General features: G+C 38.7%; 1 long non-coding RNA gene across 2 annotated transcripts in view; it reads left to right on the top strand.

Moving 5' to 3' along the window:
- The first annotated feature begins 2,385 nt into the window (after window positions 1–2,385).
- The window catches only part of LOC105371954 (uncharacterized), a 29,080-nt gene continuing 15,978 nt past the window's right edge, over window positions 2,386–15,487 (top strand). Inside the window, exon 1 of one of the 2 annotated variants that reach the window (XR_007066438.1) lies at window positions 2,386–3,009. This is a non-coding gene — a long non-coding RNA (uncharacterized LOC105371954). The remainder of the gene's footprint in view (window positions 3,010–15,487) is intronic. The other variant, XR_007066437.1, reaches the window with a different exon arrangement.

The following is a 15,487-nucleotide window of genomic DNA, read 5'->3' as shown; positions in this document are numbered from 1 at the left end:
ACTGCAATATGGTAGATGAGCAATTGCTCTGTTTCAGATCCCAGAAACTGAATTATCTTTGAAATTAACAAGCAGCATTGCCTCCCCACTACTAATTTTTCCACCATTACCTAACTTGAAAACTTCTAAACATATAAGCCTATAGATGACGTTAGTCAGTAACAACGTGAAATCTTACAATTTCAATCAATCCCCTGCAGTCTGCCTTTTAAAAACCTAAATAAATGCCGTGCATGGTGACAAAGATTCTTTACTTGTCCAAACTTTAGTCAGGCTCCTGAAACTTCTCCTAGTCCCATCCGTGCTCTTCCTTGTAAAATCCAGTTTTATAAAGAATCTTGCTAAATCAGTTTAGCAAGAACCCCTCCACCCTCAATATATGACCAACTTCCTCATCCTCCACCATCCCCCATGTGATGTCTGGTCATCCTGGCCTGTCTTCAGCAAGAATCTTGTTAGGTCAGTTTAGCCTGAATCCCTCCTACTCCTAATGTTACCTCTGAGTAACTTTCCATGCACTGACCCCTGCCCTGCTTTTGGCTATAAATTCCCACTTGCCCATGCTGTACTCAGAGTTGAGCCCAATCTTTCTCCTTCATTTCAGAAATTCCATTGTGATGGTCCTGAATAATGTCTTCCTTACCATGTTTCATCAAGTATCATTGAAGAACATTTTCTCTAACAATAATTTAATTTGATTTTTTAATATCATCAGAGGCTGTATATGAAATCACACTGGCTTCTATGAGAAGCACTAAATAAACTAATAGTGTTCACAAGCCAGATAATATTAGGTTGGAGATGAAAATGACCTCACAAGTTTTGAAAATCAGGTTTCAAAAGAAAACTTACTTGTCAGGCTCTTTGGTAACTGAAGTGGATTCAAATCCAAGACTTCGGATTCTCATTCCAGTATTCTTTCCACTGTGCCACATGGCCTTTTTAAGACTATGTGGAAGGCAAACCATTTAGAATATGAATCATTAATGACTGTTGATTTTATTTGACTCAATGTCAAATAAAACCCTTAGTAAGTTTTAACAAATTCTTGTAATTCTTGTTAGCTAGTAGCTTAAAACAATCTTCTGGGTCACTTTTAGAGCTGTCACTTAAATCAGGTCTCTGACCAAGCAGTTCTCATCTTAATTCAAGTATTTGCAAGTTAGTGACCTCAATAAAGAAAACAGGGAGAATAAGGAGAGGTAAGAAGTTAAGAACAATTGGGAAGAACAGATAATAGAGTTATTCATCAAAGTCACAAAGTCTGGAGACTAGTCAGTTTTGTGTTCTAGTCCTGGTTCTTCTACTTACTGGTTGCACCAGTTTAGCCAAATTACTTAACATCTCTGAACCTCAGCTCCCTCCTGTCTGACTGCAGGCAATAATAGTATGCACCTCATAGAAGTTTTGTGGATTCTAAATGTGAAAATGTACCTATTCTGTGGCATATTTATACTATAGTACCTGACACTTGATGCCCAAGAAAAGCTGGCCAAATCCCAATATCTCTATGGATAATTTTTTAAATGGTCACATCTGGAAACTATTATGCAATCCTCTCATCCAGGTGTATTCCAAAATCAAGGCTTTTGTAGAATAGCCATAAGGAGCTTTATGGGGAGTGTGCATCATTTACCCATTCCAGAGGTCATCAGCTTCCAGTGAGTGAATCACTTCTCTGCTAGGTTCAATGGAGAGAATGTTGGGAAAAGCATTTTCTTTGTCACTGCAATGCTGAAAGCAGATTGTGATGTATCCCACAGCTCAAGAGAGAAGCCAAGATGGGAAAGTGCTCAATTTGGTTAAGCTTATTTACTGACTCATCCCAGAACGGTTGCGCTTATATTAAAATTTTATATATGAAATGTACATAAAAACGCACACAGATGGGATGAGCATATGCAGGTGCGCGTACACACACGTGCACACACAGAGTCAACCTTTTTTAATGATAATGAAGAAAATCTAGATAAGCCTAGAAAAAAAACAAAAGTGCCCTTTACTCTTTGGAATTGACTTTCAGGTTTGGGAAGAAAGATTTACTTTCCAAATTATGTTTTGCTTTGGCAAATATTAGCTTTCCCCAGACACACAATGATTAACAACACAGTAAATCATGCTGGATAGCAGGAAGAAGACAATTTGAATTAAATATTTAGGACTGCCTCTAAACTCTCGATGGCAGGGACAACAGACTGTCACTGTTGCATCTATACCTAGCATAATGACAGGCACATAGTATGTCATTATTAAACACTTGTTTTTTAAGTGAATAAAGAGAAATAAGTCCTCATGTGAAACTCAATATATACTAATCTTGAGACAGTAAGGCATTAATTATCACCTCAACGCCCTAAGTCAATATTAAAAAATTCTTTTTTCTTAACAAAACTAAACTAATAATTATATTCATAACTGAAATAACTTTGATTTTTAGGTTTTTATAAGCTTTGAGAAAGTGGCTCATTGCACATTTATTGAGTTCTTACTAAATTTCAGCACTGTCCTGGGCACTAGATATACAAAAATGAAGAAGATGTTATCTTTCCTTATCATCTTTTCTTTTTTCTCACAGCCTATTATGAGGGTAAAATCCCTAGTGTGATTTTTTAAGTAAAACCCAGTGTGAATGTAATGTTATAAAAAAGTGGGCATGAGAGTCAATCTGGCTCAAAGAAGTTGTGCTGGAGACTCTTTGCTCCTCCAGAGCCTTTCTCTTCACTTTTCCACCCTGTTCTGTGCTCCAGGAGCTGGAGGGACTACATCACAGTCTTCCTTTATCCCTGATTTCAGTTTCATTCGGCCAATGGGAGGCACTGGCAGGAGATCAAAGGGCAGGAGGACTGTCAGGCTAGGGTATTTTTAGCATAGCTCCTTCCCTTTGGAAGTTGTACAGGTTGGCTGCATGCCTCTACTGAAGGCTACTCTTCTTATCAAGTAACGTCTTCTCCATGCTCTTGACCCTTGCCCCTTCAGACCTATGGATGGTAATAACCTGCCCACACCTAGGTAAGTATTATCATCGTAACTCAACTCAAATTATCCAATTTGAGTGCACCACCTGTTTCTTCTCAGGAACCTGGGTAGTAGACTGTTTTTGGTGCTTTTACTGTAAAATTAAGGAGCATTAGATGATCTCTGAGGTCTGTTTCAACTTGAAAATTTCACACACCTAAAATTCTACTCAAATTTAAAATACTTTGAAACTACTGAAACATCTTTCAGTTATTATTTTGTTCAGGAAGACAGAACCCGTTCTAGATATTTTGAACAGGAAAGGATTTAATATTGGAGATTAGAACATTACAAAAACATGGGAGGGGCTAAGGGAATGAAGGTAAGGAAAAGTTACCTCTAGAATTCAGGAAATTAGGAAGTGCAGAAATTGCAGACAAGCACTATTGATGATCTTAACTGCCTGCAGCACGGAAATAAATTATTTGCAGTGGATGCCCTGAAGCTGCTGGCAAAACCTCATACTTGCTACAGCCTCCCACTGGCACAGAGTACTACTGGCTTCTACTTCTCTCCCATTTTCAAATTCTTGCATGAATTCCTCTCTTGATCAAACCTAATATCCAACTCTGTGGCAATAATTCTTGGAAATATTACATCCCAGGCAGCTAGTCTCTGCATGCATGCAAAAAAAAAAATGTTTAACAGAGAGAAAATAATGCTTAGCTCCTTTGAATCTGGCATAACACATTAAATTATATTTGTAATAAAGTTTGATTGCATTATTTTATTATAAAAGTAATACATGAGCATTATTTTAAAAATCAAACAAAAGGGGTATGAGTTCATAAGCAAAAGTTGTTCATGTATCTATAGATGTGGTTCTGAGAAGTAATCCTCTTTATTGTTTCATTTTTTAGTGCTTCTAATAGTCTCTTTCATACCTCCAAATACTATGCTTACATCTCTATTTGTTCCTCTGTCAATCCCAAAAAGTATCTACTGCCTCCCTTAATAAAAGTTTAGGAAATTAGCTCACTTACATTATTACTCTAACACTCCTCTCCCTAAATTTGTCACTTATATTTTTTGTTTACTGATTACAATTATTCATTTATATGGTAAAACTAAAGATTTATTTCTTGGTCCTTCTACTTGAGCAATATCTCTTCATTTGACATTGTTTAAAATTGTCAGATAACTATAATAATGCTCTTCATGAGTTCTCTCAGTATTTATGTGAAAAAATATATATATAATACAATATTATGATTGTGTAATAACATTTATTGAGGAAATAAGTAGTGTGAATGGATCCACAAAAAAGGAAACGAAATCCAAACTCATCAAATTTGTTTTGTTACGGAGAGTATGTACAAAGAAAATTAGCAAATGGATTATTATTATTTATTTATTTATTTATTTATTTATTTATTTATTTTTGAGACGGAGTCTTGCTCTGTCGCCCAGGCTGGAGTGCAGTGGTGCAATCTCGGCTCACTGTAAGCTCCGCCTCCCGGGTTCACGCCATTCTCCTGCCTCAGCCTCCCGAGTAGCTGGGACTACAGGCGCCCGCCACCACGCCCGGCTAATTTTTTGTATTTTTAGTAGAGACGGGGTTTCACCATGTTAGCCAGGATGGTCTCGATCTCCTGACCTCGTGATCCACCCGCCTTGGCCTCCCAAAGTACTGGGATTACAGTCGTGAGCCACCGCGCCCGGCCGCAAATGGATTATTTTAAACTCTATCACCAAAGTTCAATCAATTCATTATTAAACCACAACTTCATACTAAACTTTTTATAGATATTTTTGCTTTTGAAGGAACCTCTGGTTACCCTTGTTTTTGAAAGAATAATGCCTTCAACTTATTGCTAAGATGATCAGCTGATGAAATCATATTTTTAAAAGTGAATCCACATTTGAATCAGGTAGAAAGAGGTTCTGACCAATGAAACTGAAAACCAACCACTAGTATCAACCACCAGCAATAGATAGGGGTCTATTCGCATCACATATTAAGACTTCTGGGGTGAGCTGGCTGCAGCTTAGTGCAGCAGCATAATGATGCCATAATTTACCCAGAACTTTTCACCCTTCTTCTCTGCTATTCTTAGCACCATCCAAGCCTCAACATCTTCTTGGTCCTCTTATTCACAAGATGGTAGCTTCACTTCCTGGTAGGAAGAGAACACATTAAAAATTAAATAAATTGTCTTCTAGCAAGGCATTGCTGTTTTATTAGGGGAAAAAAGTTGAATAAAGGTAATTTAGCCTTTTTCTCACTGGCTAGAGTTGTATTTTAGGGTCACCCCTAGAATTGCCTGGAGGTAGGGAGTTGGGGAGGAAGAAGAGGTATCTGGGGGGTGCATTTGGATCAACTAGTCCATTGCATCTGTAATACTGTTTTTCTTTAAAACATTTTTCTCCAATCACTCTGACCTTCTATTTGGGTTTATACCAATCCATTACTAAGCTATCTTATTTAGTTTTCTTATCATTTCATTCTTGGGTTATGTCCACTGTTTTTTGCATTTTGTTCTTTTTTCTTTCCATATTCCTTATTTTGCCACAATATATATATTCAATAATCTTCCTGAGGAAGGTGGAGTAGAGATAAACTTTCAGAGTCCTATAGTATCTAATAATATATGGAAATTACTCTCACAATTGATTAACATTTTTTAAATTTAACTTTTATTTTACATTAAGGGGTATATGTGCAGGTTTGTTTTATAAACTTGTGTCATGGGAGTTTTTTGTGCAGATTATTTTGTCACCCAGGTATTAAGCCTAGTACCCATTAGTTATTTTTCCTGATCCTCTTCCTCCTCCCAACCTCCACCCTCTGAAAAGCCCAAGCGTGTGTTGTTACCCTCTATGTGTCCATGTATTCTCATCATTTAGTGCCCATTTGTAAATGAGAACATGCAGTATTTGGTTTTCTGTTCCTGCATTAGTTTGCTAAGGATAATGGTCCCCAGATCCACCCATGTTCCTGCAAAGGACATGATCTTGTTCTTTTTATGGCTGCGTAGTATTTCATAGTGTATATGTACCACATTTTTTGTATCTAGTCTGTCATTGACAGGCATGTAGATTGATTCCACGTCATTGCTGTTGTGACTAGCGCTGCAATGGATATACTCATGCATGTGTCTTTATGATAGAATGCTTTATATTCCTTTGGGTATATACCCAATAATGGGATTGCTGAGTCAAATGGTAGTTCTGTTTTCAGCTCTTTAAGGGATTGCCATATTGTCTTCCACAATGGTTGAACTAATTTACACTCCCACCAGCAGTGTATAAGTGTTCCTTTTTCTCCACAACCAGCATCTGTTATTTTTTGGCTTTTTAAAAATAGCCATTCTGACTGGTGTGAGATGGTTCTCATTGGGGTTTTGACTTCCATTTCTCTAATAATGATGTTGAGCCTTTTTCATACAATTGTTGGCCTCATGTATGTCCTCTTTTAAAAAAATGTCTGTTCATGGCTTTTGCCCACTTTTTAATGGGGTTGTTTTTTTCTTGCAAATTTGTTTAAGTTCCTTATAGATGTGAGATATTAGATCTTTGTCAGATGCACAGTTTGCAAAACTTTTCTCCCATTCTGTAGGTTGTCTGTTTACTCTGCTGATAGTTTCTTTTGCTGTGCAGAAGCTCTTTAGTTTTATTAGATCCCATTTGTCTATTTTTCCTTTTGTTGCAATTGCTTTTGGCATCTTCATCATAAAATCTTTGCCCATGCCTATGTCCAGAATGGTATTGCCTAGGTTGTCTTCTGTGGTTTTTATACTTTTAGGGTTTATATTTGTCTTCAATCCATTTTGAGTTATTTTTTGTACATTGTGTAAGGAAAGGGTCCAGTTTCAATCTTCTGCACATGGCTAGCCAGTTATCCCAGCACCCTTTGGTTAATCCTAAATGGATTCCCAATAAGGAATCCTTTCCCCATTGCTTGTTTTTGTCAGGTTTGTCAAAGATCAGATAGTTGAAGGTGTGTGGTCTTATGTCCTGGTTCTCTATTCTGTTCCATTGGTCTATGTGTCTGTTCTTGTACCAGTACCATGCTGCTTTGGTTACTGTAGTCCTGTAGTATAGTTTGAATTAAAGTCAGGTAGTGTGATGCCACCACCTTTGTTCATTTTGCTTAGGATAGCCTTGCATATTTGTGGGGTATTTTTGTTTTGTTTTCATATGAATTTTAAAATAGTTTTTTCTAGTTTTGTGAAGAATGTCAATGTCAGTTTAATAGGAATAGCATTGAATCTATAAATTGCTTTCATCAGTATGGCCATTTCAACAATATTGATTTTTTCCATCCATGAGCATGGAATGCTTTTCCATTCATTTGTGTCATCTCTAATTTCTTTGAACAGTGTTTTGTAGTTCTCCTTGTAGATCTCTCACTTCCCTGGTTAGCTTTATTCCTATATTGTTTGTGTGTGCATGTATGTGTGTGTGTGTAGCAATTGTGAATGGGATTGCATTCCTGATTTGGCTCTTGGTTTGACTGTTGTTGGTGTATAAGAGTGTTAGTGATTTTTCCACATTGATTTTGTATCCTGAGGCTTTGCTGAAATTGTTTATCTGCTGAAGGAACTTTTGGTTTGAGATGGGGTTTCCTAATATAGGATTATATCATCTACAAAGAGATAATTTGACTTTCTTCCTGTTTGGATGCCATTTACTTCCTTCTTGCCTGATTGCTTTGGCCAGAACCCAACACTATGTTGAATAGGAGTGGTGAGAGAGGGTGTCCTGGTCTTGTGCTGATTTTCAAGGTGAATGTTTCCACATTTTGCCCATTTATTCTAATGTTGGCTGTGGGTTTGTCATATAGGGGTCTTATTATTTTGAAGTAGTTTCCTTCAATACCTAGCTTATTGAGAGTTTTTAACATGAAGGGATGTTTAATTTTATTGAAAGCCTTTTCTGCATCTATTGAGATAATCATGTGGTTTTTTACTTTAGTTCTGTTTATATGATGAATCACATTTTATTGATTTGTGTATGTTGAACCAACATTGCATACCAGGGATAAAGCCTACTTCATTGTGTGGATACACTTTTTGATGTGATGCTGGATTCAGTTTGACAGTATTTTGTTGAGGATGTTTGCATCAATGGTCATCAATGATATTGGCCCAAAGTTTCCTTTTCTTGTTATGTCCCTGTCAGGTTTTAGTGTCAAGATGATGCTGGCCTCATAGAATGAGTTAGGGAGCAGTCTCTCCTCCTCAAATTTTTGGAACAGTTTGGCAGGAATGGTACCAGCACTTCTTTGTACATCTGGTAGATTTCAGCTGTGAATCCATCTGGGGCTTTTCTTGGTTGGTAGGCTATTTATTACTGCCTCAATTTCAGAGCTCATTATTGGTCTGTTCAGGGATTCAATTTTTTCCTGTTTCAGTCTTGAGAGGGTGTATGTGTCCAGGAATTTACCTATTTCTTCTAGATTCTCTAGTTTTTGTGCATAGAAGTGTTCACAATGTTCTCTAATGGTCATTTGTATTTCTGTGGGATCAGTGGTAATATTCCCTTTGTCATTTTTGATTGTGTCTATTTGGATCTCTCTTTTCTTCTTTATTACTCTAGCTAGTGGTCTATCATTTTTTCAAAAAACCAGCTCTAAATTCATTTCAATGGTTTTTTATGTATCAATTTCCTTTAATTCAGCTATGATTCTGGTTATTTCTTGTCTTCTGTTAACTTTGGGGTTGGTTTTCTCTTAGTTCTCTAGTTCTTTTAGTTGTGATGTTATGTTGTTAACTTGAGATCTTTCTAACTTTTTTATGTGGGCATTTAGTATTATAAATTTCCATTTTACCACTGTCTTAGATGTGTTCCAGAGATTCTGGTATGTTGTATCTTTGTTCTCATTAGTTTCAAAGAACTTCTAGATGTCTGCCTTAATTTCATTATTTACTAAAATTTGCACAAGAGCAGGTTATTTAATTCCCATGTAATTGTATGATTTTCGTGAATTTTTTAGTCTTGATTTCTAATTTGCTTGCAGTGTTGTCTAAGAGATTGTTTGTTGTGATTTTGGTTATTTTTCATTCACTGAGGAGTGTTTTATTTTCAATTATGTGATCAATTTTAGAGTATGTGCCACGTGGCTACATTCTGTTGTTTTGGGGTGAAGAGTTCTGTAAATGTCTATCAGGTTCATTTGACCCAGTGCTGAGTACAGGTCCTGAATATCTTTGTTAATTTTGTCTCTTAATAATCTGTCTAATATTGTCAGTGGTGTGTTAAAATATCCTGCTATTAGTGTATGGGAGTCAAAGTCTCTTTCAAGGTCTCTAAGAACTTGCTTTATGAATCTGAGTGCTCCTGTGTTGGGTGAATATATATTTAGAATAGTTAGGTCTTCTTGTTGAATTGAACCCTTTACTATTACATAATGCCCTTTGTCTTTTTTATCTTTGTTAGTTTGAAGTCTATTTTGTCAGAAACTGGGATTGCAATCCCTGTTTATTCCTGTTTTCCATTTGCTTAGTAGATTTTTCTTCATCCCTTTATTTTGAGCCTATGTGTGTCATTGCATGTGAGATGGGACTCTTGAAGGCAGCATACCAATGGGTCTTTGTTCTTTATTTATTTATTTATTTTATACTTTAAGTTCTAGGGTACATGTGCACAACGTGCAGGTTTGTTACATATGTATACATGCCCCATGTTGGTGTGCTGCACCCATTAACTCGCCATTTACATTAGGTATATCTCCTAATGCTATCCCTCCCCCCTCCTCCCACCCCATGACAGGCCCCAGTGTGTGATTGGGTCTTCGTTCTTTATCCAGTTTGCCACTCTGTGCCTTTTAATCAGGGCATTAGCCCATTTATATTCAAGGTTGGTAAAGATATGTGTAAATTTGATCCTGTCATCATGATGTTAGCTGGTTATTTTTCAGACTTGTTTATGTGGTTGCTTTATAGTGTTATTGGTCTGTGTACTTCAGTGTGCTTTTGTAGTGGCTGGTAAAGGTCTTTCCTTTCATATTTAGTATTTAGTGCTTCCTTCAGAAGCTCTTGTAAGGCAGGCCTGGTGGTAACAAATGCCCTCAGCGTTTGCTTATCTCAAAAGGTTCTTATTTCTTTTTCACTTATGAAGCCTAGTTTTGCTTGATATCAAACTCTGAGTTGGAGTTTCTTTTCTTTAAGACTGTTGAATATGAGCCCCCAACCCCTTCTGGCTTATAAGGTTTCTACTGAGAAATCGATTGCTAGTCTGATGGGCTTCCCTTTGTAGGTGACTTGTTCTTTCTCTCTAGCTGCCTTTAACATTTTTTCTTTCATTTCTACTTTGAAGAATCTGATAATTGTGTGTCTTGGGGATGATCTCTTTGTGAAGTATCCAGTTGGGGTCCTCTGCATTTCCTAAATTTGAATGTTGGCTTCTCTAGATAGGTTGGGGAAGTTCTCATGGATGATATCCTGAAATATGTTTTCCAGGATGCTTCCATTCTCCCCATCTCTTTCAGGGACACAGTGAGTCATAGGTGTGGTCTCTTTACATAATCCCGTATTTCTTGAAGGTTTTGTTTATTCCTTTTCATTCTTTTTTCTCTATTTTTGTCTCACTGACTTATATTAGAAAGCCAGTCTTCAAGCTGAGATCTTTTTGTCTGCTTGTTCTATTCTGCTATTAATACTTACGATTGCATTACAAAAATCTTGTAATGTGTTTTCCAGCTCTATCAAGTCACTTGTGTTCTTTTCTATATGGCTATTTTGTCTGTCAGCTCCTGTATTGTTTTATCATGAATCTTAGCACCCTTAGATTGGGTATTAATGTACTCCTGTAGCTCAGTCATCTTTGTTCATATCCATGTTCTGAATTCTATTTCTGTCATTTCAGCCATCTCAGCCTGGTTCACAACCCCTGCTGGGGAGATAAAACAGTCTTTTGGAGGAAAGAAGGCACTTTGGCTTTTTTAGTTGTCTGGGTTCTTGTGCTGGCTCTTTCTCATCTTTGTGTGTTTATGTTCCTTCAATTTTTGAGGTTGCTGACTTTTGGATTTTTTTTTGTATTTTATCCTATTTGGTGACCCAAGGGTTTGACTGTGGTATAAGGTGGATTCAGCCAACTGGCTTGGTTTCTGGAAAATTTTAGGGGACCAACACTCAGCTCCCAACTCCTGGACTACATGCTCTAACTCTAGGGAACTTGTGTTGGGCCCTGACTTTGTTCTCTGGCTCCTCAAGGTTAGGAATCCACTGCACTGAGGAGGCCAAACAGCTCCCATACCACTGGTCACTACACTCCAATGTCAGCCAAAGCATTTCCAAGTGTGGTGAGAGCAAGATCCATTTTTGTTTGCATATGCCAGCAGCAGTGGTAGTGGCAGTGCTTATTGGTGGGGTGCATGCTTGTCATCTGCGGCAGGGTGTTAGTGGGTGCTGGGGTGCCTGCCTCCCTGTGGGCATTCACCACACTGGCGGAGGCAATGCAGCTGGAGGGGAGCAGGGGCCCCTGCTGGTGACTGTGTGCATGGTTGCACTGATGGTCGTGTTGGCTCCAGCAGTGGGGCACTGGCAGGTGCAGGTCTATATGCCTTTCCTATGCACTGTAAGCAGGAGTGATCACTCAGGGCAGGGGAAGATCTGCCATTCTCTATGTCTAGTTTTACTCTTGTGGTAGTCTTAGTGCAAGGGCAGGGTGCTGATGGAGTTGGGGCTGGCTGGCTCTGTGCCCATCAAGGCTCTGTCTGCAAAGGCAGTCAGTGGAGGAGGTGGGTAGACTGCACTCCCACCACAGCAGTGACTGGGTGGGGTACATGCACACTTGCACCCTGATGGGGCAAGGAAATAAAAACCTGCCCACACAGACACATACCAGCAAAGCAATGTGGGGAGTTGTTGTGGGCCAAGGGGAAGCTGCAGTGTTGGTAAAGAGCATGCAGGTTGGTGCATGACCATGGGGGCCACCCTACTGGAGCTCTCCACTCATCAGGCATGGTACAACAGTGCAGAAGCTATGATGTGGGCCACAGGGCACCTGAGGCTGTCCTACAAGCAGGCATGGCCAGACTGCGGCCCTGGGAGAGGCCAGCAGACCAAGAGGTGCTCAGGTCAGATCAGCCCCATGAGATGGGCAAGACTGACCTATAGAGTTCAGAACCAACAGTTCCACTAGGATTAGAGTCTCCTTTGGGAGTAAGTTGAGCCTAGTGGGTAGCCATTTCTGGTCGTGCCCCACTACAGACACTCCTGCACCAAACTCTCTGGGCTCCACATCAGCTGGCTTTCTGCCCCTACCACTATTCTAAGCAGCTCTCCCTGCCAACCCAAGTGTCCATGATAATTGTGGGATCTCCTCTTGCTGGGGTTACAGAGGCCCATGGTGAGAGTGGGCTGCTCCTTGCTAGTTCAACTCACCAGGTCCCCCAGAGTCACTGAGGGCCAGGAAAAAGTTCAGGTATGCAGTAGGCCCTTGTATGGTTCCCAGCTTCCTCCCTCTTCAGCCTAGCTTCTGTGTCTTTCCTCTATCCACTCTCAGTGCCTTCCTTCTGAAGATCTGCTAGGAGTACACAAGCCATCTTGGTCCCTTGGTGGCAGCTGTTCCATCTGACTGTGTCTAGTCAACCATCCTGTCTTCCCCCTCCCATTAATATTTTATTTATTTAACACTTTCTAGAATGCTGGTTTGAAATCTTTTTCTACCACATAACCTTAAAAGTATTGTTCCATGTCTTCTAGCAGCTAGCTTTGTAAATGAGTAGTCTGAAGCCAATCAAATTCTTGTTCCTGAAAATATTAAGAAACTTTAAGGAACTTTCTTTATCTTTATTGTTCTAATATTTTACTAGGTTATGTCCAGATACAATCATTCATTCAACCACTACTTATTGAGGGCATACATTACATACTCTATGTGAGTGTTACTAGGAATTTGGCAGAAAGCTATGTCAATTCAGCCTGTACTCTTATTATAATTGAGCTGGGAAAAGAATTTTTCTTTTTTTTTTGAGATGGAGTTTCACTCTTGTTGCCCAGGCTGGAGTGCAATGGCACAATCTCGGCTCATCGCAACCTCCGCCTCCTGGGTTCAAGTGATTCTCTTGCCTCAGCCTCCTGAGTAGCTGGGATTACAGGCATGCGCTACCAGGCCTGGCTAATTTTTTGTATTTTCCGTAGAGATGGGGTTTCTCCATGTTGGTCAGGCTGGTCTCGAACTCCCGACCCCAGGTGATCTGTACACCTCGGCCTCCCAAAGTGCTGGGATTACAGGCACTAGCCACCGTGCCTGGCCAGAATTTTTTAAAAATCACATGAATAAGTAAGTTCATTTATAATAGTGATCATACTATGAAGAAAATAAAACAATACGCAGATAGAGAAACTGATTAGTGTGAAGAGATCAATGAAGACTTTGGTCTGGGAACTGATATTTCACCAAAGGGCCAATTGATGAGGTAAAGATATGGGAATGTAGTTATCGATAAAAAGGTCGGTATGGCTAGAGTGTTGTGAATAAGGGGAGAGTGATATCAGAGTTATGGACCCTGGTAAGTAATTTGGGTTTCATTTTAGGTATGGAAATAAATCATTGAAGGATCTTAAAAGGAAGTTGAATGATCAGAATTATGCTTTAAAAATATATCTCTTTGTACTCTTAAAACTCAACAGAGCTAGGGAGAAACACAAAGCCATACTAGAGTTGCCATTTTCAACTCATGACCATAAGCCCCAAATTCAAGTGGGCCTCGTGCTGCTACCCAATTACATATTTCCCTGATCCATTCTCTCTCCCACTCTTTTACATAACTTTCTCCTCTGTTCTCAAATCTCCAGTACTCCTGCCTCATACCCACTCTGTTGATGACCTTTCTATTTTACCAAGGAAACTGAAGCCATCAGAAGAGAATTTCCACAGATTTTCCCTCAGTCTACCCACCTACTAGCACCTGTACTCTGTCCACTTTTTTTTTTCCTGCTCACATACCTTCCTAAAACTAATTATTCACTTGGATGTAAGATTTCATTTCCTGTCATCTGCTTATGGGCCTCACTTAAGCGATTCTACTTCACTTATACCCTCATTTTTTACACTCTCTGCTAGAACATTTTCATCAGCATATAAATATGCTGTTAACTCTCCCATCTTTGTTTGTATAAATTTAGGGGGTACAAATGCAATTTTATTACATGGGTATATGGTATAGGGATGAAGTCTGGGGTTTTAGTGTATCCATCACCCAAATAATGCACATTTTCCCATTAAGTAATTTCTCATCTCTCATCTCCTTCCCATTCTCTCCTATAAATACTAGAAGAAAACCTAGGGAAAACTCTTCTGGACATTGGCCTAGGCAACACATTCACGACTAAGACGTCAAAAGCACAAGCAACAAAAACAAAAAGAGACAAATGGCATTTAATTAAACTTAAAAGCTTCTGCACTGCAAAAGAAATAATCAACAGTGAACAATCTGCAGAATGGGAGAAAATATTTTCAAACTATGCATCCAACAAGGGACTAATATCCAGAAACTACAAAGAACTCAAACAACTTAACAACAACGACAAATCCTCATCCCTTAAAAACTCTCTCTTGACTCTAATTCCTCCATCATCTACCATTCCATTTCTCAACTTCCTTTTGTCTCAAAGTCTCCCAGAGGATTTCCTATACAGGCTTCCTCTGAAACTTTTCCCAGTCACTCTTAAATTCATTCTAATTAGGTCTTTACTTACCCACCATCACTACTCTGACACCATAACTTTCAAAGTAATCTATGATGTCTGCATTACTAAATCCTATCATTTCTGTTTTTATCTTACTGGACCAATCAGTTGCATCTGACACAGTTGACATTTTCTCCCAATTGCTACTCTTTGTTTGGCCTCAAGGACATCACTCTTGGTTTGTTTGTTTGTTTTTCTACCTCATTGGTTTGTCCTTAGGTTCCTTTGTAGTTTCTCTTCTTCCTTCTGAACTCTTAATGTTGATATTCCAGAGCTCACTATTTGTCTATTATTTCTTCTCTTCATTAGTAATGTCACCCAGTCTCATAAGTTTAAACACCATTGACCTATTCTAACGTATCTTTGGCTAAGACCTCTTCCTAAACTCCAGACTCTTATATAACTTTCAGCTTCTTATTTGATATTTCCACTCAGATGTCTAAGAGACATGTTAAATTTAAATCTCCAAAATTGAATTTCTGATAATCTGCAAAAATCTATATCTTTCTCAGTCTTTCCCGGCTCAGCTGATGACAACTTCATCCTCCAAGGTTGTTCAGGCCAAATCATTGAATTCATCTTTGACTTTTCTTCCCTCTCACCCAATATTCAATCTGTCATTAAAGTATATACACACATCCATCCCTTCTCAAAATCTCCAGTTACCACCCTAGATTGACAACCACTATTTTGAGGAAATTTTACTGCAATACTTAGCACAGTAGGTTTTGGGGTTTTTTAGAGGTTCTTTTTTTGTTTGTTTTCTTCTACATTTGTCTTTCTGTGGCACCGCAGCTGCAAAATTTGTTTTTAAATGTTTAGTCAAATTACTC

This window comes from Homo sapiens, chromosome 18, assembly GCF_000001405.40.
Source record: "Homo sapiens chromosome 18, GRCh38.p14 Primary Assembly".
Lineage (NCBI taxonomy): Eukaryota > Metazoa > Chordata > Mammalia > Primates > Hominidae > Homo > Homo sapiens.
This window is presented reverse-complemented; position numbering and strand designations above follow the sequence as displayed.